The sequence below is a fragment of the Homo sapiens genome, chromosome 14, assembly GCF_000001405.40.
Source record: "Homo sapiens chromosome 14, GRCh38.p14 Primary Assembly".
NCBI classification, from domain to species: domain Eukaryota; kingdom Metazoa; phylum Chordata; class Mammalia; order Primates; family Hominidae; genus Homo; species Homo sapiens.
Window position 1 is genome coordinate 56,635,692 of NC_000014.9, and position 25,163 is coordinate 56,660,854.

The window sequence follows — 25,163 nt, forward strand, 5'->3', positions numbered from 1 at the left end:
AAGGAGTGCTTCCTTCAGCAAAAATGTATTGATGTCCAGTCTGAGCCAGGGACTGTGTGCACTGAGAACAGTTATGATATAAAGAGCTTATATAAGTTTAAAGAGGTTTTTAAAGAGTGGTCAAGAAATACAGCTGCAAAATAATGATTGCAAATATATATATATATACTATAGTTTATGCAATAGTATTTTTGAATAAGTCAGAAAATAGCATATTTTAAGTTGTCATTGTAGTCATAGGGACAAATTCTTACTTTAAGGAACTGATCAAAGATATACCATATGTTTGCATAATTCACTGTGATTGAATGTGGGAAAGCGGGGAAGAAATCACATAAAAGAAGAAAGAGGTCATTATTTGCACAGGTATTGATTTAATTGGCGTTCTGAATACAACTTGGATGAGTTCATGGGGTCTAAGGGTCTGGCCACCTTGGAAGAACTGGGCACACATGGCATGAGCTTCGTGTTGGGTACCTTCAGGGATGTGTTGGCAGACTCAGCAGGTTTCCCTTTTCCTGGCTTCTCTTGCATAACAATAACATACATTTGGAGGATGAACAATGTATAATAGTGATAAGTGTAAGCTTTTTTTCTAAAATATTTGGTCATTAGTGTGAATGCAGCATCTTGGTGGGTGGGTGGAGGGATTGTTGTTGGTTCAGAGCAAATGTCCATGAATATGAGAGAATTGAAAATAATACAATAAAGGATTTTGTACATCCCTTATCAGTGGAGAAGCCTGGAAGATTTAGCTAGCCCTGAATGTGCAATTGACTGTATGATTTTAATGAAGGTTCCTATCCCCACCCCCAGGATGAAAACACCGTTCTTCATCTTTAACCTGGCAGAAACTGCTCACATGCCTTCAAAAGTGAAAGCTCAACTCTACGCTCAAGCATATGACGTATGTTACACTTTTATATGTAGATATAGATATATTTGGTGGGAAGGTGATGGTGATTGTTCAGAATGGATAGAGGGTATATCACATTAGAATTTTTATTATTTTATTTCTCTCAATTTGGGTGGTATAAAGCAGCACATATGAACAAATCCTCAGTTGTATCACAGTATCCAAAGTAAATGGCTGTGGTAGGCAGAATAATACCTCCCACCCAAAAAAGATGTCTAGTCCTAATCTCCACAACCTGTGAATATGTTACCTATGTAACAAAGCAGGGGGTGGTGGGGATTAAGTTAGGTGTCTTGAGACAGGGGGTTACCCCAGATTATCCAGGTGGGCCCAACATAATCATAAAGGTCCTCATGAAAGGGAAGCAGGCAGGTCAGAGTCAGAGAAGTATACATGATGCAGAAGCAGAGGGCAGAGAGAGAGAAACTTGAACTTTGCAGATGGAGGAAGGAGCCAGGAGTAAAAGAGTGCAGGCCACCTCTGGAGGACGTTGGAAACAGAGTCTCCTCTAGAGCCTCCTGAAGGAATGCAGTTATGCTGGCTTTATGACTTCTCACCTTCAGAAGTGTGAGATAATAAATGTATGTTGTTTATTTGTTACAGTGGCAATAGGAAACTAATATAATAGCTTCATTTAAAACAAGTTCTAGCTGGTTACTGCCTCTGCAAAGGTCATGACCCTGGCTACACTTGAAATGATAGGGCCTTGGCTTGTTGAGATTTCACGAGAAGAGATGATAAAGAGTCATGGAGGGTGGCTCTGTCTTTTAACTGTGGCCCCAGGAAGCCAAACTAACCTTCGGAAGACACAGCCACGCTGAAGGTCTTGCACAAATCGGTCCTTTCTGATGGGAAGTGGGAGCAGATACAAGAGGCTTGCTGTGGCACTACTGTAACCAAGTCTCTGCTTTGCTATGACTTACGGCACTGGCCACTTCAGACACTTGCAGAGTCTGCTCTATAGGAAACTAATATCCTGACAAGGGCCAATGAAAACAGAGGGTAGGACCTGTATATATGAGCAGCTGAGATATTTCTGCCATCTTTAGACTGCTGTGGTTCTACTCAGCCAGGACAAGTGTTTGGTGCTAAGACAAAATAGCATGGTGTCCAATCAGTATGACTACTTTTACTCCTCAATTGTGATCTCTGGTTCCTTATGTATTCACTTATTCATTCACTCACAAAGCATTTCTCGAGCACCCACTCCATAGCAAATAGTGTGTTGGAGACAACCAAGTCTTATCCCTGCTATCAAAAAGGTGGCAGGCTAGAGAGGGAGATGGAAGATCAAGTCCTCAGTCACAGTTCAGTCTTGTGAGTGCTGTGAGAGGCACACAAGGGTGCTACAGAAACCCAGAGCCCTGGACCAGAGCAAGCTGGGAAGTAGGCTGGTGAGGGAGGGAGGAAGGGAAGGCTTCCAGAGAGGATGTCATTGGAGTGTCATCTTGAAAGATCAGAAGGAGCTAACCAAACAGATGGTAGGGCAAGGCAGCAAGAGAGGGAGGGGAGAGCAGTCCATAAGAAGCAAGCCATGGGGGCAAAGGCAGATCCCTCCGAGACACCCCACTTGAGGATAGCAAAATACCTGATTATAGAAGGCAGCATGCTGGAGTTCTGTCTGGCAGTAAGGAGGCCCAGCTTCTAGGCCCACTCTGCCATTAGTTGTCAACTGTGCATCAAAGAACCTTTCCAGGCCTTGATTTTTTTTCTAAAAAAGAAAAAAAAAAGGGCTTTAAACTTGAAAAGATCTCCTTTCACATAATAATCCTGTTTATCTCTAATACCTTGTAATTCTATGAAAAACAAGTAGTATTTAGTTGGGAGAAAACTGAGACTTACTTACTGATACTTTATATTCTCATCAGCGACCTCTTCTATGGTCAGTTGTTTGTTAGGCTACTACTAAAGCTCATTTGTGGATTTATTGTCCCTTTGGGTCAGAGAGCTCTGTTTTTTTTCAGTGAATACAGATTATTGGTATCTCCTTTGCACATAGTCTCCAGATGTGTGACAATGTTTACAAGACAAATGAGGCCAATTACTTCATGGTAATTACTGAATTACCACCCCCAGTGCTAGTTTTTCAAGAATGTTCTTCTTAGGTGTAAAGAATATATTTCTGCTGTTTATATTATCCTACTCAATAGCTCATACAGAATATTAAGTTCAGGTGACATCAGGGAGCAGGGCAGGGCGTAGGCAATGCTATAGGAATAAATTGGATAATTTGAAGGTGTCCCCAACTAACAGAATACATCCACCAAGACTAATATCACAGCAACACATGTATATAGAGGAGGAAATATAATTCCACATAACGAAGAATGATGGGCTTCTCAAGATATGGTACATGTGACTTAATAGGACATCTAAAATAAGTTGATAATGTGTCAGTAACAAAATATTCCAGAAAAAGGTAGCACAGTTGTCCTGCTGCCTGAAGACTAGTAGGTGGGTCATGAATGAGCCTCCATTCTCTGGAGCAGTTGGGGAAATGCTCCTGGAAGTGTTGGCATCTATTTTGGACTTCAACACCTTAGTGCAGGGTGGTGGGTTGGGGATGGTTAATAGGTACAAAAATATAGTGAGACAGAATGAACACAATCTAGTATTTGATAGCACAACAGGGTAACTACAGCCAACCAGGGTAACTACAGCCAACAACATTATGATACATTTAAAAATAACTAAAAGAGTATAATTGGATTGTAACACAAAGAAGGGATAAATGCTTGAGGTGATGGATACCCCATTTACTCTGATGTGATTATTATGCATGGAGGCCTGTATCAAAATATCTCATGTACCTTATAAATATATACACCAACTGTGTACCTGCAAAAATTAAAGTAACAAACATCAATCTAACAGGTCTATATTTGTATAGAAATATGTAGTATAGGAGGTGGAGCCAAGACAGCCAAATAGGAACAGCTCCAGTCTACAGCTCTCAGCATGAGCAACGCAGAAGACGGGTGATTTCTGCATTTCCAACTGAGGTACCGGGTTCATCTCACTGGGGAGTGCCGGACAGTGGGTGCAGTGCACCATGTGTGAGCCAAAGCAGGGCAAGGCATTGCCTCACCCAGGAAGCGCAAGGGGGCAGGGAATTCCCTTTCCTAGTCAAAGAAAGGGGTGACAGACAGCACCTGGAAAATCGGGTCACTCCCACCCTAATACTGTGCTTTTCCAATGGGCTTAACAAACGGCACACCAGGAGATTATATTCTGCACCTGGCTTGGAGGGTCCTATGCCCACAGAACCTCACTCATTGCTAGCACAGCAGTCTGAGATCAAACTGCAAGGTGGCAGCAAGGCTGGAGGAGGGGTGCCCGCCATTGCTGAGGCTTCAGCAGGTAAACAAAGCAGCTGGGAAGCTCGAACTGGGTAGAGCCCACCACAGCTCAAGGAGGCCTGCGTGCCTTCCTGCCTGCCTCTGTAGGCTCCACCTGTTGGGGCAGGGCACAGACAAACAAAAGGCAGCAATATCCTCTGCAGACTTAAATGTCCCTGTCTGACAGCTTTGAAGAGAATAGTGGTTCTCCCAGTATGCAGCCTGAGATCTGAGAATGGGCAGACTGCCTCCTCAAGTGGGTCCCTGACCCCCGAGTAGCCTAAATGGGAGGCACCCTCCCAGTAGGGGTGGACTGACACCTCACACAGCCGGGTACTCCTCTGAGACAAAACTTCCAGAGGGACAATCAGGCAGCTGCATTTGCAGTTCACCAATATCCGCTGTTCTGCAGCCTCCACTGCTGATACCCAGGCAAACAGGGTCTGGAGTGGACCTCCAGCAAACTCCAAAAGACCTGCAGCTGAGGGTCCTGACTGTTAGAAGGAAAACTAACAAACAGAAAGGACATCCACACCAAAAACCCATCTGTACATCACCATCATCAAAGACCGAAGGTAGATAAAACCACAGAGATGGGGAAAAAACAGCAGAAAAACCAGAAACTCTAAAAATCAGAGCACCTCTCCTCCTCCAAAGGAGCACAGCTCCTCACCAGCAATGGAACAAAGCTGGACAGAGAATGACTTTGACGAGTTGAGAGAAGAAGGCTTCAGAAGATCAAACTACTCCAAGCTAAAGAAGGAAGTTCGAACCAATGGCAAAGAAGTTAAAAACCTTGAAAAAAATTAATTAGACAAATGGATAACTAGAATAACCAATGCAGAGAAGTCCTTAAAGGACCTGATGGAGCTGAAAACCACAGCACGAGAACTACATGACAAATGCACAAGCCTCAGTAGCCAATGCGATCAACTGGAAGAAAGGGTATCAGCGATGGACAATGAAATGAATGAAATGCAGCGAGAAGTTTAGAGAAAAAAGAATAACAAGAAACAAACAAAGCCTCCAAGAAATATGGGACTATGTGAAAACAAGAAATATGGGACTATGAAAAGACCAAATCTATGTCTGATTGGTGTACCTGAAAGTGACAGGAAGAATGGAACCAAGTTGGAAAACACTCTGCAGGATACTATCTAGGAGAACTTTCCCAACCTAGCAAGTCAGGCCAGCATTCAAATTCAGGAAATACAGAGAACACCACAAAGATACTCCTCGAGAAGAGCAACTCCAAGACACATGATTGTCAGATTCACCAAAGCTGAAATGAAGGAAAAAATGTTAAGGGCAGCCAGAGAGAAAGATGGGGTTACCCACAAAGGGAAGCCCATCAGACTAACAGCAGATCTCTTGGGAGAAACTCTACAAGCCAGAAGAGGGTGGGGGCCAATATTCAGTATTCTTCAAGAAAAGAATTTTCAACCCAGAACTTCATATCCAGCCAAACTAAGCTTCATAAGTGAAGGAGAAATAAAATCCTTTACAGACAAGCAAATGCTGAGAGATTTTGTCACCACCAGACCTGCCCTAAAAGAGCTCCTGAAAGAAGCACTAAACATGGAAAGGAACAACCAGTACCAGCCACTGCAAAAACATGCCAAATGGTAAAGACCATAAAGGCTAGGAAGAAACTGCATCAACTAATGAGGAAAATAACCAGCTAATATCATAATGACAGGATCAAACTCACACATAACAATACTAACCTTAAATGTAAATGGGCTAAATGCTCCAATTAAAAGACACAGACTGGCAAATTGGATAAAGAGTCAAGACCCATCAGTGTGCTGTATTCAGGAAACCCATCTCACGTGCAGAGACACACATAGGCTCAAAATAAAGGGTTGGAGGAAGATCTATCAAGCAAATGGAAAACAAAGGCAGTGGTTGCAATCCTAGTCTCTGATAAAACAGACTTTAAACCAACAAAGATCAGAAGAGACAAAGAAGGCCATTACATAATAGTAAAGGGATCAATTCAACAAGAAGAACTAACCTAAATATATATGCACCCAATACAGGAGCACCCAGATTCATAAAGCAAGTCCTTAGTGACCTGCAAAGAGACTTAGACTCCCACACAATAATAATGGGAGACTTTAACACCCCACTGTCAACATTAGACAGATCCATGAGACAGAAAGTTAACAAAGATATCCAGGAATTGAACTCAGCTCTGCACGAAGCGGACCTAATAGAGATCTACAGAACTCTCCACCCCAAATCAACAGAATATACATTCTTCTCAGCACCGCATTGCACTTATTCCAAAATTGACCACATAGTTGGAAGTAAAGCACTCCTCAGCAAATGTAAAAGAACAGAAATTATAACAAACTGTCTCTCAGACCACAGTGCAATCAAACTAGAACTCAGGATTAAGAAACTCACTCAAAACCACTCAACTACATGGAAACTGAACAACCTGCTCCTGAATGACTACTGGGTACATAACAAAATGAAGGCAGAAATAAAGATGTTCTTTGAAACCAACGAGAACAAAGACACAACATACCAGAATCTCTGGGACACATTTAAAGCAGTGTGTGGAGGGAAATTTATAGCACTAAATACCCACAAGAGAAAGCAGGAAAGATCTAAAATTGACACCCTAACATCACAATTAAAAGAGCTAGAGAAGCAAGAGCAAACACATTCAAAAGCTAGCAGAAGGCAAGAAATAACTAAGATCAGAGCAGAACTGAAGGAAATAGAGACACAAAAAACCCTTCAAAAAAATCAATGAATCCAGGAGCTGGTTTTTTGAAAAGATCAACAAAATTGATAGACCACTAGCAAGACTAATAAAGAAGAAAAGACAGAAGAATCAAACAGATGCAATAAAAAATGACAAAGGGGATATCACCATCAATCCCACAGAAATACAAACTACCATCAGAGACTACTATAAACACGTCTATGCAAATAAACTAGAAACTAATCTAGAAGAAATGGATAAATTCCTGGAGACATACACGCTCCCAAGACTAAACCAGGAAGAAGCTGAATGTCTGAACAGACCAATAACAGGCTCTGAAATTGAGGCAATAATTAATAGCTTACCAACCAAAAAAAGTCCAGGACCAGATGGATTCATAGCCGAATTCTACCAGAGGTACAAGGAGGAACTGGTACCATTCCTTCTGAAACGATTCCAATCAATAGAAAAAGAGGGAATCCTCCCTAACTCATTTTATGAGGCCAGCATCATCCTGATACCAAAGCCTGGCAGAGACACAACAAAAAGAATTTTAGACCAGTATCCTTGATGAACATTGATGCAAAAATCCTCAATAAAATACTGGCAAACCGAATCCAGCAACACATCACAAAGCTTATCCACCATGATCAAGTGGGCTTCATCCCTGGGATGCAAGGCTGGTTCAACATACGCAAATCAATCAATGTAATCCAGCATATAAACAGAACCAAAGACAAAAACCACATGATTATCTCAATAGATGCAGAAAAGGCCTTTGACAAAATTCAACAACCCTTCATGCTAAAAACTCTCAATAAATTAGGTATTGATGGGACGTATTTCAAAATAATAAGAGCTATCTATGACAAACCCACAGCCAATATCATACTGAATGGGCAAAAACTGGAAACATTCCCTTTGAAAACTGGCACAAGACAGGGATGCCCTCTCTCACCACTCCTATTCAACATAGTGTTGGAAGTTCTGGCCAGGGCAGTCAGGCAGGAGAAGGAAATAAAGGGCATTCGATTAGGAAAAGAGGAAGTCAAATTGTCCCTGTTTGCAGATGACATGATTGTATATTCAGAAAACCCCACTGTCTCAGCCCAAAATCTCCTTAAGCTGATAAGCAACTTCAGCAAAGTCTCAGGATACAAAATCAGCATGCACAAATCACAAGCATTCTTATACACCAGTAACAGACAGAGAGGCAAATCATGAGTGAACTCCCATTCACAATTGCTTCAAAGAGAATAAAATACCTAGGAATCCAACTTACAAGGGATGTGAAGGACCTCTTCAAGGAGAACTACAAACCACTGCTCAAGGAAATAAAAGAGGATACAAACAAATGGAAGAACATTCCATGCTCATGGGTAGGAAGAATCAATTGCGTGAAAATGGCCATACTGCCCAAGGTAATTTATAGATTCAATGCCATCCCCATCAAGCTACCAATGACTTTCTTCACAGAATTGGAAAAAAGTACTTTAAAGTTCATATGGAACCAAAAAAGAGCCCACATTGCCAAATCAATCCTAAGCCAAAAGAACAAAGCTGGAGGCATCACACTACCTGACTTCAAACTATACTACAAGGCTACACTAACCAAAACAGCATGGTACTGGTACCAAAACAATATAGACCAATGGAACAGAACAGAGGTCTCAGAAATAATGCCACATATCTACAAATATCTGATCTTTGACAAACCTGACAAAAACAAGCAATGGGGAAAGGATTCCCTATTTAATAAATGGTGCTGGGAAAACTGGCTAGCCATGTGTAGAAAGCTGAAACTGGATCCCTTCCTTACACCTTATACAAAAATTAATTCAAGATGGATTAAAGACTTACATGTTAGACCTAAAACCATAAAAACCCTAGAAAAACCTAGGCAGTACCATTCAGGACATAGGCATGGGCAAGGACTTCATGTCTAAAACACCAAAAGCAATGGCAACAAAAGCCAAAATTGACAAATGGGATCTAATTAAACTTAAGAGCTTCTGCACAGCAAAAGAAACTACCATCAGAGTGAACAGGCAACCTACAGAATGGGAGAAAATTTTTGCAACTTACTCGACAAAGGGCTAATATCCAGAATCTACAATGAACTCAAACAAATTTACAAGAAAAAAAACAACCCCATCAACAAGTGGGTGAAGGATATAAACAGACACTTCTCAAAAGACATTTATGCAGCCAAAAAAACACATGAAAAGATGCTCATCATCACTGGCCATCAGAGAAATGCAAATCAAAACCACAAGGAGATACCATCTCACACCAGTTAGAATGGCAATCATTAAAAAGTCAGGAAACAACAGGTGCTGGAGAGGATGTGGAGAAATAGGAACACTTTTACACTGTTGGTGGGACTGTAAACTAGTTCAACCATTGTGGAAGTCAGTGTGGTGATTCCTCAGGGATCTAGAACTAGAAATACCATTTGACCCAGCCATCCCATTACTGGGTATATACCCAAAGGATTATAAATCATGCTGCTATAAAGACACATGCACACATATGTTTATTGCGGCACTATTCACAATAGCAAAGACTTGGAACCAACCCAATGTCCAACAAAGATAGACTGGATTAAGAAAATGTGGCACATATACACCATGGAATACTATGCAGCCATAAAAAATGATGAGTTCATGTCCTTTGTAGGGACATGGATGAAGCTGGAAACCATCATTCTGAGCAAACTATCGCAAGGACAAAAAACCAAGCACCACATGTTCTCACTCATAAGTGGGAATTGAACAATGAGAACACATGGACACAGGAAGGGGAACATCACACTCGGGGGACTGTTGTGGGGTGGGGGTAGGGGGGAGGGATAGCATTAGGAGATATACCTAATGCTAAATGACGAGGTAATGGGTGCAGCACACCAACATGGCACATGTATACATATGTAACAAACCTGCACGTTGTGCACATGTACCCTAAAACTTAAAGTATAATAAAATTTTAAAAAATTATACTTAATTTAAAAAATAAAATTGATATCTGTAAAACAACAACAAAAAACTTAGTAGGATTTTGAAAACTGAACAGTTCCTGAATGCCTGCTTTGTGTGAGGCAACATGCTACAGCCTTTACACCCGTGTCTTATCAGAGGAGGGCTCAGGAAGAGAAACCACTGGAGAAAAAAGGATGATGACAAAAAGGGTAAAGCAACTTTGAATATTTTACCAAGAGGATAAAAGGGTAGGAGTCTGACAGTAACCTTGATGTATATGAAAGTGCATGGTGATTCTTTCCCATTTTTTCTTTCTTTTTTATTTTTTATAACTAGAGATGGGGTCTTGCTTTGTGGGCCAGGCTGGTCTCCAACTCCTGATCTCAAGCCTGATCTCTGGCCTCGGCCTCCCAAAGTGCTGGGATTGCAGGCATGGGCCACCGTGCCCAGCCTCTTCCCTATTGTATAAAATAAAGGGAACTAAGGGGAAATTTGCTTTAAAAGGAAGCTGGACAACTGAGGGTTATTAACTATTGAAACAATATATCAAACATGAATTGTGGAATATTTCATGAGGGTGCTATTTAAAAATAGGTATGCATTTGTTTGCCCTGGAGTAGGAATTGGAAAAATAGATAATATGATTGGGTTTCTTTTAACTAAATTATGTAATGTCTAATTCAAAAAGCACTTGTCCCTTGGAGAAAGCACTATTGTTTTTCTGTGCACTCAGAAAGTCTACAGGTAACTCCTGTGAATACAGCTCTAACTTGACAATCTCCAAGAAAGCTGTGAGATTCCCAAGTAAGCAACTATAATATTCCATTTTGCAGATTTGTGTCTGCGTTTTTGTTTGTTAAATTTTTGATGTTTCCTGTAGAAAACTCAGTATAAAAAAAATTTAACTCTATCCAATTAATACTGTCTCTGATGTTGAAAAATGAAATTCTAAATTCCTATGGGCAAAGTTTTAACTATCAAAATTATAAATTACAGGATACTGTGAAGCTTTTCAGTATCTCACTTTATGGATATCTCTTAAATTCTATCACACCCAGCCTCTCTGATGATGAATTTGTCTGGATTGTTTTATCGTTGCTAGTGTTGTTAGTGTTGTTTTTAATGTAGAGAGAAATTTCTGTCAAAAATGTGGGACAAAAATTTAAATTCCTTCAAGTTCTTTTTCCAGGCAGTCTTCTAAAGAAAGCTGTTTTTTTTTTTTGTTCTCCAACAGCTAAATTTAGAGTTTCAACCCTTCTGCCTGTTGAGTAAATAGCTTTCCATGAATTAAAACTAAATCCCTTCCCCAGAACATCTTTCTGGAGGAAGAGCATTTTGTCCTAACACTGTGTCTTCGGTTTCCCCTGCAACATCTAAAAACCTCAGAAGCAGTTTTAGAAGCAGCATATTTGCCTCCTGCTACTGTAATAATTGCAGTAACATTCTTGGGTTCTCTGCATGGCTTAGCAATGATTAGATTTTTACTGGAGGCTGCTTGAATTTTTTTTTCTTGTTATTAATTCCTCTGTGTTTTTTTGTTTTTGAAAAAAAAAAAGTCAAAGAATAACAATGGAATACCAACATTTCTGCTGTTTTCTAGCTTTATAAGGAGATTGTCTATTTACAAAAGGAGCACCCAGTGAATTGGCACAAGAACTATGCCATCGCCTGTGAGCGGATGCTGCGTCTTCAGGCAAGAGATGCAGATCCTGAAGTGCTGTTATCGGAAACCATCAGACATTTCCGTCTGTACTCTCAGAAAGCACCGAATGACCCACAGCAAGCTGATATTTTAGGTGCTCTAAAGCACCTAAGAAAAGAACTGCAAAGTCTGAGAAATAGGAAAAATGTCTGAGACAGCAAAATATGAAAAACCTGCTCATCGTTCAGCTTCCAAAATTCTGAAGTCTGGAAGTTTTTCCTTCAAGAAAAGAAACTGCATAAAAAATTTAAAACTAAGTCATCTCCCAGATATAAGTATCATGGTCCAGCAGTACTGTTTAATGGGGTATTCAGTGACTAAGGTCTGCTATTTATGCAAAATTCTGTTTATCCCGTGTTACCAAATTACCATTTCAGTGAGAAGCTTTTGAAAAGTCTTCTGACTTCCAGTCTTTCACCAGATGACTGCACTGGATTAGATTCTAGAAGAGAATGAACCATTTTCATATAACTAAATATTGGTCATGAACTGTGTAAGGGCCATGCTTATTGGGATCAGTTTTAAAGTTAAATTCTTTTGATATTAATACCAGACCAAAGACATTTTCTGTTTCCTGGAAAAAAAAAATGAATCATGTTAGGCTTTAGGTGAGAGTACATTTTTTACAAAGTAGCTATAGTTGTTACATAGTCTTACACTTCAAGCTAAACACCAAATGGGTGATATTTTGAAAAAAGTTTGTGTTTTACTGTCTTAGATCGTTCTTGGAAATCACTAAAAAAAAAAAAAGTTAATTTGATGTTTGCTTATTTCAGTTGCAGAAACTGGCGAGTAAAAAAGATTTTGCATTTACTTAATTAATTTTATATTTATGTTTTATTTCTATTTGGACTCAGAGATCTAGACCCAATAATTAGTAGGCTCCTGCTGCCAAAATGCAAAGGGGAAAAAAAGGCAGGGATTGGGGGGGATGGGGAAGTGGCCCAATAAATTCATTTCTGTTACAAGCATCTTTTATACATATTACTAAAGAGAACATAGTAAGAAATGCAAATAATAGTTCTTTATTTTATTATGACAGTTAATTAATAGCAACCTGTTTTAATGAATAAAGTCACTCAGAGTCCTTCAGCACTTCCTAAGTAGAGGCCAGAATCTGTAGGGCTTCTTTTCCCCCCAATTGTATAGCTCCTAGACTCCAAGCACTATATAGGCCCCTGTATAGAAATGCTCACTAATGAAGAGGGAGGGCTAGAAGCTTGTCTGCATTCAAAGATCACTGGTGAGTCATTCAGCAAGAAAAGGCCCCTTACCAGGAATAGTCACAGTTCCGTGGCATTGTACTAGCAAAAGGGTCTGATCAAAGGTCTCCTGTGGAGCTTGCATGGTTCCCTTTCATACTACGACCATAATTAAAACCACTAATTCTCTTTTAAAATGCTGCAGGATGCCATGTAGGCATCTGTCTGGAGTGTCCTTTGTGATGTCATAAGCTGTTAAGGACCAGTGCCGAGGGCTTTTGAGTGAAATGCCAGTCATGAAGGTGCTTCAAGACAAGGGTGCCTCTAAAAGCTTGACAGGGCCTTGACTGCACAATTCGAGCTGAATTTGCCCCTTGTCAGCTGCCAGTAAATAAATCTCAAAGGGGGAAAAGCTGAAGTTTCATTACCTGATCCATGGGGCTTTGTTGGTTTTGGCATCACACAGGGGAAGCTCTTGCCCCTCCATTCTCTGGATTTGAAGATGTCCATTGGAGCCTGCAGTGCCTGGACAGGGTTCAGAGCGGAACCTTTTGAAGAGTGTCAATAGTTGTAACAGTTCAGCTGTTAGGAAGACAAATAAATGGAGGAGCTCATTAATCCGCTTTTGGCTCTCAGTGCCTTTTGCCCTTTTATCACAGCCTTATTAGGCTCCTACTCATCTTGAACCAGAAAAAAATGAATTGAAGTTGTTGAGTACTAATTGGCAAAGACTTTTAATCATGGGCCAAGAACTTTCACTGACTTGAAAGTAACTTCTCCACAGGGAAGGACCAAAAACCTGGTTTACCTTAAAACAAAAACCTGTTGGAGTTCAGCGTGGTGTAAAAATGTAAGGAAGCATTGATAAATTGTCTAAGTTTATCCATTTGAAAGAAATTGTGTAAGATTATGATATTCTCTTTTCTTTAAAAAAAAAAGTACAATAAAATTCAAACATTCCTTAGGAAAGCATTGTCTTTATTGGTTCAGAAAAGAGATTGCACATATGCGTGGTGGTTGTGTTTGTTTCTGAACATCTATACACAGATATGTGAATATTCATCTCTGCATCTACATACGCATGTGGTGTTTGAGGAACCTTATTAAAAGTTATATTTCCTATTAGTAGCCTTAAGAATGGCAAATGAAGACCTCTTTTTGAGACTGTCTGCTTGTAAAAATTTTTTAAATATGTGTCTGTACTATAGAGATATGTGTATGGCTGAATGTGCTTTGTGTATAGATTATTGTCAAATGGTACCTAGATTATTCTATATGTGTGCAACAGTGACTTTGGGCCACTCTCTCTTTGAGAAACCAATGATATGATGGCCCGGAGTAGATAGGATCATAATGATTTAAGTTTCTAAAAACCACTGGTAAATGAAAAACTAGTAAACTGAGCTGAGATTTAGGGATGTTGGGCTTCATTCCCAGATGAACTACTTTGGAGAATCCTTTCCTTTCTATTAGGTGAGGTTAAACAAGTTGCTTTCTTTTTCTTTCTCTTACTTTCCTTGGCTAGTGTACAGACTCCATAAAATCTGATAAAAGGGGTTTCCTGTAGTCTGACCCCCGACATTGAGGAGACTGTAATGGAGGTGACTTCTCATGCAAGATTTGGCCAGCGTTCTAGCAGTGTCCCGGGAGTGCCATGGTTTGGCAGGAAGACAGGAACCCCACAAGGCCAACTTCTGCCTGGACTTCGGCCTGAAGAGCCAGTGGGAGCCAGTGAAACTGTCTGACTCTCCACATGCGTCAGGGCCCTGCCGCCCTGGCACCAAGGCTGGCACGCACCAGAGGGCAAGTGGAGAAGCGGATGGTGGCTCCCATGTTATCTGACTAACCACTGGGTGGGCTACACTCCCTGTGCCCCCGCTGTTGCCTCTGATAGGAGTATGCTTGGTTCTTGGTATTGACTTGCCTTTTTTTGTTGTTTTTTAAAAGCACCCATTTTGTTCAATGCTTCTGTTCTGTTACTCAAAATGTAGCCAAAATAGAAGGGAATCAATTACTAGTGTATTATTTTGAAAGCTTCAAACAGAAATTGTGAAATGTTATTTCTGCTCATATTCTTAGTGTTTTCTCTTGGTAGAATCATAATGTTTAGCCTTTATGATATTTAAAACCCATTTTGAGTGTTAGGTTTATTTTTATGATACTCTGCCGGTAACTTTTAAGTCATCAGGCTAGGATATGAAGAGTAGTTTTTTAAGTTTATGTTTTAAAAGTGAAATATTGTGAATCTTTCATCATAGTTCTCATCAATATCCCTCAGAATTTTTAAATGTTAATGCTTTAATATTTAGGAAAAATTTTATACCAAAGTTGAAAAAAAATAGAATCCTGTTACTCCCGACTTCTGGTGTGTTTTATAAATGCATCAACACAGGATATTACTTAGAATTCTGTTCTAACTGGCTTCAAGTCTTATGGTTAGTTAAAGAAAACAACTTCAACCCAGTAAGAGATTCACATTTTGTTGTGAATGCAAAACCATTCTAATGCTGATACTCACAAACAAATAAGTAATGTTTCCAGGGATTCTGGGAACATCTAAAGGCCAAGATCTTGGCACAGCATTACAGAGCAAACAAGGAGCTAAAGCTTTAGCAGTGATCATATTCAATGAAGACATCATTGTCAGCACCCTCTCAAGGTCTGTTTGATTTGGATCAGCACAGACAGTATTTTTAAAACAGCCCCAGGAATAGTACAGTGTGCTTACTCAGCTATAGAAAATTAAACAGGAATATATCCTGAAAAAGGGGTTTTTCAGGAAAAAAAAAAATTCTGATTGCTCTTCAACAATGTAACATACATTTGATGGAAATTGTATGTACTAGAAAGATTAGCTCATGCCATATTGGAAAACAAAAAAAAGGTGGTGATGCCACATGGGAAGGACAAGTAGCGTTTCCAGCACTGTACATGTGAAGCCAACAATTATTGGCCTGAAAGTGGAGTTCTCTGACTCTTTGCTGCAGATCCAAAGTTAGATGTGAGGGTTAATTTTCAATACAAACATTGCGATGATATTACAAGGTTGAGAAAGTTACAATATAAAGGTCAAGACACAAAGGCACAATTATGGGGCTATACTCCTATCCCAGTGATCCAACCTCACAGAGTAACTGCAGAGTTGCAAGTCTTCTGGTACATAGTTGCCATTAGATGAGGATAAGTATAATAAAAGATACATAGAAATAAGCCAAATCTAAGGTTTAACCATTTCAAAACTTTAGCGTATAAGAAGTATAGGGTGAAGTACAATAGATGGAAATGGCATAAAATTTTTTAATCATTAAGTTCATAAACGTTGCAAACTAATAAATGGAGATTATGTCCTGTTTTTAAAATAACAAACCATAATCATCTTCTATTTAGAAGTGTTATCTGAAAGGGTATTTTTTGAAATGTAACCTTTTAAAGAAGGTACTTGATATTTCTCTCAGCTAAATGAAATATTCCCTTAGATAGTTGAACTGTTGAAGATATCTTTAATACCAGTGATGGTTGTTCACATATAAAAGTGTGTGTGATTAAAACTGAAAGGGGAACACTGCTTGGAAAATCACACCCAGTTTTCTCATCCTTGGATTATGGACCTAAGTGAATCACCCATTACCCTGGATCCTTGAGTATCAGCTAAGACACAGGAATTCAGGGCCGGGAGTGGTGGCTCATGCCTGTAATGCCAGCACTTTGGGAGGCTGAGGCGGGTGGACCGCTTGAGTCCGAGAGTTTGAGACCATCCTGGGCAACATGGTGAAACCTGGTCTCTACAAAAGAAATACAAAAATTAGCAGGGCAAGGTGGCATGCACCTGTGGTTCCAGCTACTTGAGAGGCTGAGGCAGGAGGGTCCCTTGAGCCTGGGAGGTGGAGGTTGAGGTGAGCTGTGATTGCACCACTGCACTCCAGCCTTGGTGACAGAGTGTCTCAAAAAAAAAAAAAAAAAAATTATTATAAAAACTCAAGAGCTTTTAAAAATTACTCTTGCAAAAGCTACAGAAACTTTAAAGAGGATTGTTTATAAATGGAAAATGATTCATTTATCAAAAAACTAGGGTTCCTTAGTCTGACAGGTGAAAGTTTTCAAAACAGTTCGTTCTTAAAAGCATAAAAAACTGAGTTCAATTATGCAGAGCTTAAAACAAGCAACTTCACTGATAGAGAATACTCGTACTTAGTGTTTGTTTTTACTTAGAGTGTCATAATTTTCCCCTAAAATTATAGCATATTCATTCAATATGTGGCTTGTATCTACACAGTTAAGTTTCTCTTTCAGTGATTAGAATTTTAGCCATTAACCTATGCAGTCGCCTGTATCCACCTGGAGGCAGTTCCTCCAGTTGCAGGATTGTGCTTATTTAAACTGATTGTCAAACTGTGGGTCATGAAGTCAATTGAGTGAGAATTGACCAGCTTTTTCATAATGAAATAGAATTAAAAACACCACCATGGGCCGGGCGCGGTGGCTCATGCCTGTAATCCCAGCACTTTGGGAGGCCAAGGCAGGTGGATCACCTGAGATGAGGAGTTCAAGACCAGCCTGGCCAACGTGGCGAAACCCCGTCTCTACTAAAAAATACAAAATTTAGCCAGGCATGGTGGCGGGCTCTGGAGCCTGGGCAACAGAGCAAGACTCTGTTTCAAAAAAAATAAAAAATAAAAAAATACCACAATGCATTCGAGGTAACAAAGGTAAGTATTGTTTCATGGAACCTTCAGTTTCATTTAAAATGTGTATGCACATATGCATGTGTGTATAACATATATGTCATATATGTGTGTATGTAAAGAAATTGATAAATGTGTGTAGAGTCAATATAAAATATACTTATTGTAGGTCATAGTAAAAAAATAAATTTGAAAGTCACTGGCTTAGAAGAACTTAACACCAGGCCAGGCACGGTGGCTCACACCCATAATTCCAGCCCTTTGAGAGGCCAATGCGGGTGGATCACTTGAGGTCAGGAGTTCGAGACCAGCCTGGGCAACATGGCAAAACCCCATCTCTACTAAAAATACAAAAATTAGCTGGGCGAGGTGGTGCGCACCTTTAATCTGAGCCACTCAGGAGGCTGCTGCTCGAGTTTTGCTTGAACCTAGGAAGCAGAGGTTGCAAGTGAGCCGAGATCGCGCCACTGCACTCCAGCCTGGGTGACAGAGCAAGACTCTTGTCTCCAAAACAAAAAAAAAAAAAACAGGACATCAAAAGGGTTAGTAAGGGATCATCCAGTGTTAACTATCACAGCTAATCTAGTTTAATAAATGAAGAAACTGACATCTATACTAAACAAGTGACTTGATTACTGTCACACAGCTAGGTAGTAACAGCACTGAGACTAGGACACAAGCTTCTTGGCTCAACCTGGTACAGTTTCCCTACTCCAGTCCCAATTACATGAAACCAGCTATATTCCACCATCACCTCTGGCACATTGAAGTCCTCAAATAATGCAGCCATTTTAAAATTAGCATAAACTTGTCTAGGGGTAAATGGTGTGTGAAATCAACTATGTTGCAGGAAATTAAAAGCTATACGTTGAACTTTCCCCCTCTCCTTCAACCCTCCAGAATGTAATTTTTTTCCCCTTTCCTTTTAGACGTGGATAGTTATATCCCTGGCTTTTGACTGAAAATTTTCTTGCCCTTTCTGGACTTCGGAATATATACCCAAATTAAAAGGTTTTAGTGTGACAAGAAAAAAGTCACTTTGAAATCCAGGAACTTATTAGCATAAATTACATTCCAGCTGAATCAGCTGCTAGAAGCTCAATTTGAAAAATGTTGCACTAGTTTATATATTTCTTACCCCTCTTAAGTAGACATCAAAACACAATCATATTTCTGTATTTTAGAGAAAGAAATATGTCCCAGCTCCACTGGAATTAGACTTTACCTCCCAGAAACGGACCCCACCTACCACTGGTATTCATGATTCTTCTATTTGGTTCAGCCACTTTTTAAAAAATATTGAATGTCAGGCGGGTGCAGTGGCTCACACCTGTAATCCCAGCACTTTGGTAGGCCGAGGCAGGCGGATCACCTGAGGTCAGGAGTTCGAGACCAGCCTGAGGTGGTGAAACCCCATCTCTACTAAAAATACAAAGTTAGCCAGGTGTTGTGGCACAAATCTGTAATCTCAGCTACTTGGGAGGCTGAGGCAGGAGAATCGCTTGAACCCGGGAGGCAGAGGTTGCAGTGAGCCAAGATCGCGCCATTGCACTCCAACCTGGGCAACAAGAGCGAAACTCCATCTCAAAAAAAAAAAAAAAAAAAAAAAAAAAATGTTAAATGTCCACAAGGCAGAAACCTCTTTGAAGACCTAAGTGTCTGATATCCTAAATATGAACCTTATGTATTCAGTGTGTAGGTGACAATGATTTCTCCCAAATTTGACTCTTGGTTTATATGTATGATTTGTGAAAATATAGACTGTAGTAAAAATAGTAATAATAGCTGTTATTATAACAATCTTGGTGACATTTGTTAGCCACTTAATTGCTTCACCTAAATTTCCTTCATTTACTCTCAGAATTAGAAGTAATTTGGCCCTGCCGGGCGTGGTGGCTCACTCCTGTAATCCCAGCACTTTGGGAGGCTGAGGCGGGTGGATCATGAGATCAGGAGTTCGAGACCAGCCTGGCCAAGGTGGTGAAACCCCGTCTCTACTAAAAATACAAAAATTAGCCAGGCAAGGTGGCAGATGCCTGTAATCCCAGCTACTCCGAAGGCTGAGGCAGAAGAATTGCTTAAACCCGGGAGGCGGAGGCTGCAGTGAGCTATCACGCCACTGCACTCTAGCCTGGGCAACCGAGCAAGACTCCATCTCAAAAAAAAAAAAAAAAAGTAATTTGGCCCTTCATCTTCGGAGGCAAATAAGTTTGGCACCCCTCAAGAAACGAAAATCCCCTTCTGATGTGACCACATAAGCCATGCTGCATGCACTTTGCGCGTTTGATAAAGATATATAGATTACCTATTTCACAGGGTTCGCTTTTACTAGGACAAAACTTTTCTCTTTCACTTGTCCCTTGCTGAACAAATAAATAGTTGATTTAAAGAGCCTAAACCTGGTAAATATGTGAGCTCATTTGTACCAAGAAAATGTGTGAACAAGACTAGAACTTTATTTTATGGGATCCCATGAAATCCCTTAATAATTGTGCTTATATTGTCATGTGAAACGTGACCTGCTTATAATTTGGATACAATAGAGATTCTATTTTCCTATTTTATTATCATGCACCTGGATGAAGCCAACACCTTAACACCTTCATCTCATCTCTTAAAGCTCCCATAGCCATGTGCTATCTCCTGTGGGAAGTCACTGTGACTTCCCTCCCAGGAAGAGGGGACAACTCTAGTTCATATTGCTTGCACAAAGAAGCACTTGGAAGGATGTGGGTCTGGAGGGTTCATTTTGCCCCTAAAAGAGCAAAGAGCAGAAACAGAGTTCTTTCCAGAAGATAGGATTTTTCTGGATTGCACCAGAAGCACTGTATAGTATAGTGATTAGACTCCCAGCTCTGCCACTTCCTCACTGTGTGACTTGGAGTAAGTTTTTAAAGTTCTGTGTGGGCCAAGCACAGTGATTCACACCTGTAATCTCACCACTTTGGGAGGCTGAGATGGAAGGATCGCTTGAGGCCAGGAGTTTGAGACCAGCCTGGGCAACACAGTTGAGACCTCATCTCTACAAAAAATTTTTAAAAATTGCCAAGCATGGTGTCGTGTGCCTGTGGTCCCAGCTACTCAGAAGGCTGAGGCGAGAGGATCGCTTGAACCCGGGAGGTTGAGGCTGCAGTGAGCTGTGTTTGTGCCACTGCACTCCAGCCTGGGGCAATATAGTGAGACCTTATCTCAAATAAATAAATAAATAAATAAAGCTCTGTGTGGCTTAATTTCCTTTTCTGTAGAATGGAAATATAATAGACTACCTCATGGTGCAGCTATAAAAATGAAAAAGGTTAATATTTATAAAGTGTATTGAACAGTGCCTATATAGACCAACTGCAAGTCATGTTGGCTGTTTTCATTAATATGTCAGTAAAAACAGTTCTTCTCTACTTCCTACTCAGTAAAATAAATGTTCAAAGCCTCCTGGTACTTTGCTTGTCTCTCTAGTATGTTTAAAAACGTCTTTACTAAATATGCATCTGGAAAATTTAAATAATTCAAATAAATTACAATGATAATTATAAATATAAAAACGTTATTTAAATTATGTGAATATCTGGGAATTAGAAGAGAGTAACCAAAAAGCACTAAGCAGTTGAAGAAATGAAATCAGTCCCATTAATAAGAAAAACACATCTCAATCTGTGCACACGCATGCACACACACAAGTAAAAATCGTGTGCACAATTCATTTTCACGAGACCCCATTACCATGACCGTCCTTCCCTCTTTCTACTGGTTTCCCCAAACCATGGCCCACCTGGAAGCAGGCATCTACATTATCTCCTCTTCTTCCCAAACTTAGATTTTACCATCTATATATTTGATCTTAGTCTATTGTCCCCTGCATTCTACCCCCCAGGGACTTCTCAGAGAACAGTCTCCTACCAGGACAGCTTCTGCAGGCGCTTGGAGGACTGGCGTAGGTCAGAAAGCTTGCAGTCCAGAGCACAGGGGCCCTGCTGGACCTTCAAAACCATCCTGGGGGATAGGGTCATAGATTGCTGAGCTGGGATGAGTGGAGTGGCCAAGAGTATGTTTTGTAAATGAGCACCCCATTTATTCACTTTTTTTTTTACTTTTTTAAAAATAGAGGTGAGGTCTTCTATGTTGCCCCGGCTGGTCATGAACTCCTGGGCTCAAGCAATCCTGTCACCTCAGCCTCCTAAAAGTGTTGGGATTACAGGCATGAGCCACCATGCCCATCCCATTCACTTACGTTTACTACATTTAATAAACATTTTTTGAGCTTCTATAATGTGCCAGGTCTGAATACGACGTTTTCAGAGGGGAACCAGACAAGGGCCCTGTCCCCGACAGAGCTTCCATTCCAGAAGGGGAGAAAGCCAAAATGCCAAACTAAAAATCTGCCCAAGGATCTTTGTTCACCACTACTACATTCTACCCAAACAAGGAATGAAACTTGCTTTCTCATTGTTAAAAGTGTTGCTTACGAAATGTTTACCACCACCCTCTCAACCCAAGTTAACAAGTTTCCCACCTGTTGAGATGTCTGCATTTCATTCTTGGGCTATCTGGAGCTTTGCTGAATCCACAAAGGGCTTCACTGGACCCACAAACGGTCATTAGACCACACTTTTATTTTGGCACATCTCTCCCCACCTTCTTTCCCACACCAACATGAGTAATTCTCTGCTTTCTTTGGCTACCCTTTATCCTTCTGCTGGTCTCAGCAACATTGGATTAAAAAAACATTCATGCTGTCTATCTGTGGCAAAGAAATATTCCCACCTCTCCCACTGCCACCCATAGTAACAGAGAAAGGAGGCGAGAGGTAATAAAAGTGTGTCACCTGCTCTTAAGCTTGGTGCCTAACTCTCCTTAAAGCCACCACGCAAATTTCTAGAGGGATGTTGATCTCATTCAGGCTCTTATCCCACACCCTTGCTTAGCTTCATTGCTACAAAAGCAGGCCCTGCTTCCACAAAGCAATGAAGGGAATCATTGCTTCTGTAGCATTCTTGCCAAAAATATATAATCTCAATTTAATTTTTTTGTTTGTTTGTTTTTGAGATGGAGTCTTACTCTGTTGCCCAGGCTGGAGTGCAATGGGGCAATCTCAGCTGACTGCATACTCCACCTCCCAGGTTCAAGTGATTCTTGTGCCTCAGCCTCCTGAGTAGCTGGGAATACAGGTGCCCGCCACCATGCCCGGCTAATTTTGTATTTTTTGTAGAGACGGGGTTTCACCATGTTAGCCAGGCTGGTCTCAAACTCCTGACCACTCGCCTCAGCCTCCCAAAGTGCTGGGATTACAGGTCTGAGCCACCGCACCCGGCCTTAATTTAATCATGAGAAAACATTTCACAAATCCAAATTGAGAGACTGTCTACAAAATACCTGACCAGGACTCTTCAAACATGTTAAGGTTATGAAAGACAAGGAAAGACAAGAGAGTGTCCTGAATTTAAGGAAACTAAAGAGACATGACAGCTATGTGCAGTGTGGGATCCTGGATTCAATCCTAGGACAGAAAAATACTATTACTATTATTAGACAAAGTCTCACTCTGCCACCCAGGCTGGAGTGCAATGGTATGATCTCAGCTCACCGCAACCTCCGCCTCCCAGGTTCAAGCGATTCTCCTGCCTCAGCCTCCCAAGTAGCTGGAATTACAGGCATGTGCCACCATGCCCAGCTAATTTTGTATTTTTAGTAGAGACAGGGTTTCTCCATGTTGGCCAGGCTGGTCTTGAACTCCCGACCTCAGTTGATCCGCCCACCTCAGCCTCCCAAAGTGCTGGGATTACAGGCATGAGCCATCACGCCCAACAAAAAATACTATTATTAGAAATAGTGGTGAAATCTGAATTTAAATCTATAGTGTGGTTAATAGTAAGTATTGCACTAATGTCCCAGCTTCTTGGTTTTGATCATTATGTAAGATATTAAGGTGAGTGAAGTTGGATGAAGGGTAGACAGGAACTTTCTGAACTATTGTTGCAACTTTTCTGTAATTCTAAAACTATTTAGGAATAAAAGAGGGTTTTTGTTTTTTGGTTTTTGTTTTTTTTTTTTTTTAGTTTTAAAAGCAAGGCACTCCTTTTCCCCCTTTACTCCTTGTCATTCTTTGTTAACTACTGCTTTAGGCCTCAAGACAAACAATAGATAGGACAGTGGTCTTTATGACTTGGGTGCACCAATGATCAAAGAGACACAATCCCTAAGGCCAAAGGCCACAGGCCTGCCACCAGCCTAGTCGTTAGGGTAGGTAGCTCTCGACCCTGGGCCTGAGCCTCTTCCTAGTAGCTGTCTAGGTGGACCTGGGTGAGAACTGGGCAGCCCCAGGGAGCCTGAAGCTCTGTTTTCAGCACCTTGGGAGGCTCCGGAGAGGCCGATGGGATTAAATTCCCCTCAAAGCCACTGGGCTCACACCCAGCTTGAAGACAGCAGGATCTAGTCGGGGATTATTCTTCCAGTCCGGGTTTCTCTCTTCAGGCAGCCACTACGGAGAAGAGGGAGTGGAGGCGAAGCACCCTTAATACCCTCATTCTTTCAAAAGATGAGTCAGGTTTTTGTAGCTTCATTAGCATTTGCAGATAAAAATACATTTTAAGTGGCATTATGCTAAGTAATTATTCTTAGAAGATGTGAAATTAAACACATTTTACTCAGCATGAAATTATTCCTGCCACGTACTGAGTTTTGTGACAGCTTGAGAGTTTGGACAGTGGGTTGCAAGAAGGGGAGAAGCAATCTATGTACTTAAAAAAAAAACCCAAAATATTTTACCAAAGGTAAGTCCTTGTAGCGAAATGATTTGGCTGGATGGAATATTAAACCTGCTACTATAAATTTCACGCCTTGCATTCCTAAAGCAGATGCAGAGTGATGATGCCAAAAATTAATTGGAAATAATGCGACTTGCCTTGTGTACTCTATCCAGTAGAGGGCATAGCAGATAAGCATTGTGTGTGTTGGTGACTTAGCAACTGATAAGGCTTGTTTGTAATTGCTTCTGTAAAGATATGTAGCAGCATGCTTGGATGCTTATTTACATTTAGGAATGTGGTTCGGAATAGGAGGTGTAGATTTATAACTTTGGTTTTGTCTGTCAATACGTGGGAGACTTTTGGTTGTTGCAAGCATTATATTTACCAATGCGCAATGTTAAATTGCTGGATTTAATTGTTACAGTACAGTGAATTATTCTATTATTTCTTACTTTTTTATCCCAAGGAAAATTCAAACTTTCCAGGCTTAAGGGCAGGATAAAATGGCTCTGAGCATGTCAACGTCTCAAGAGCACATTATTTTCTTATTGGATTGTATTAACTTTACAGATGGAAATTTGAAGGAGAATTAGAAGGCTTAGAGATGGGGAATTTGGAGAAGAAAAGAATAATGTCCTAAGATTTCTGGAGGGGCTAACTGGTAAGTCATTTTGAAAGCTGCTGATGCTAATTCTCATAGCAAAAGACATAGCAGATCCTAAAATTATCAGGAATGAGGCATGAGGCACAGAATTGCTAAGAAGGAAGTGAATCTTGTGTCACACTAAGAATTGCCAAAGGATTATTCAGGTTCTGTCTCTGTCTCGCTCTCTCTTCTCTACCTGTTACAATTGGCACAGATTTTTCTTATGTAAACTCTTAATAG

At 40.5% G+C, this 25,163-nt stretch overlaps 1 protein-coding gene across 9 annotated transcripts in view, besides 1 other annotated feature; it reads left to right on the plus strand.

Moving 5' to 3' along the window:
• Window positions 1-25,163, plus strand: part of TMEM260 (transmembrane protein 260) — an 83,641-nt gene that overhangs the window by 56,167 nt on the left and 2,311 nt on the right. For 6 of the 9 annotated variants that reach the window (XM_047431494.1, NM_017799.4, XM_047431496.1 and 3 more), the window contains 2 exons: window positions 817-907; window positions 11,552-13,824. In XM_047431494.1, the coding sequence (XP_047287450.1) occupies window positions 817-907; window positions 11,552-11,806 (346 nt within the window). In that variant the 3' untranslated portion in view covers window positions 11,807-13,824. Of the gene's footprint in view, window positions 1-816; window positions 908-11,551; window positions 13,825-14,380; window positions 15,215-24,847; window positions 24,939-25,163 lie in introns of those variants that run through there. The other 3 variants (XR_007064017.1, XM_011536851.3, XR_007064018.1) reach the window with 3 other exon arrangements.
• Window positions 12,693-13,370: an enhancer, noted in NCBI's record as "NANOG hESC enhancer chr14:57115102-57115779 (GRCh37/hg19 assembly coordinates)". NCBI's record gives its function as "activates a minimal SCP1, AML or CMV promoter by ChIP-STARR-seq in naive H9 embryonic stem cells {active_cell/tissue: H9 hESC(naive)}" and the evidence as "EXISTENCE:reporter gene assay evidence [ECO:0000049][PMID:30033119]".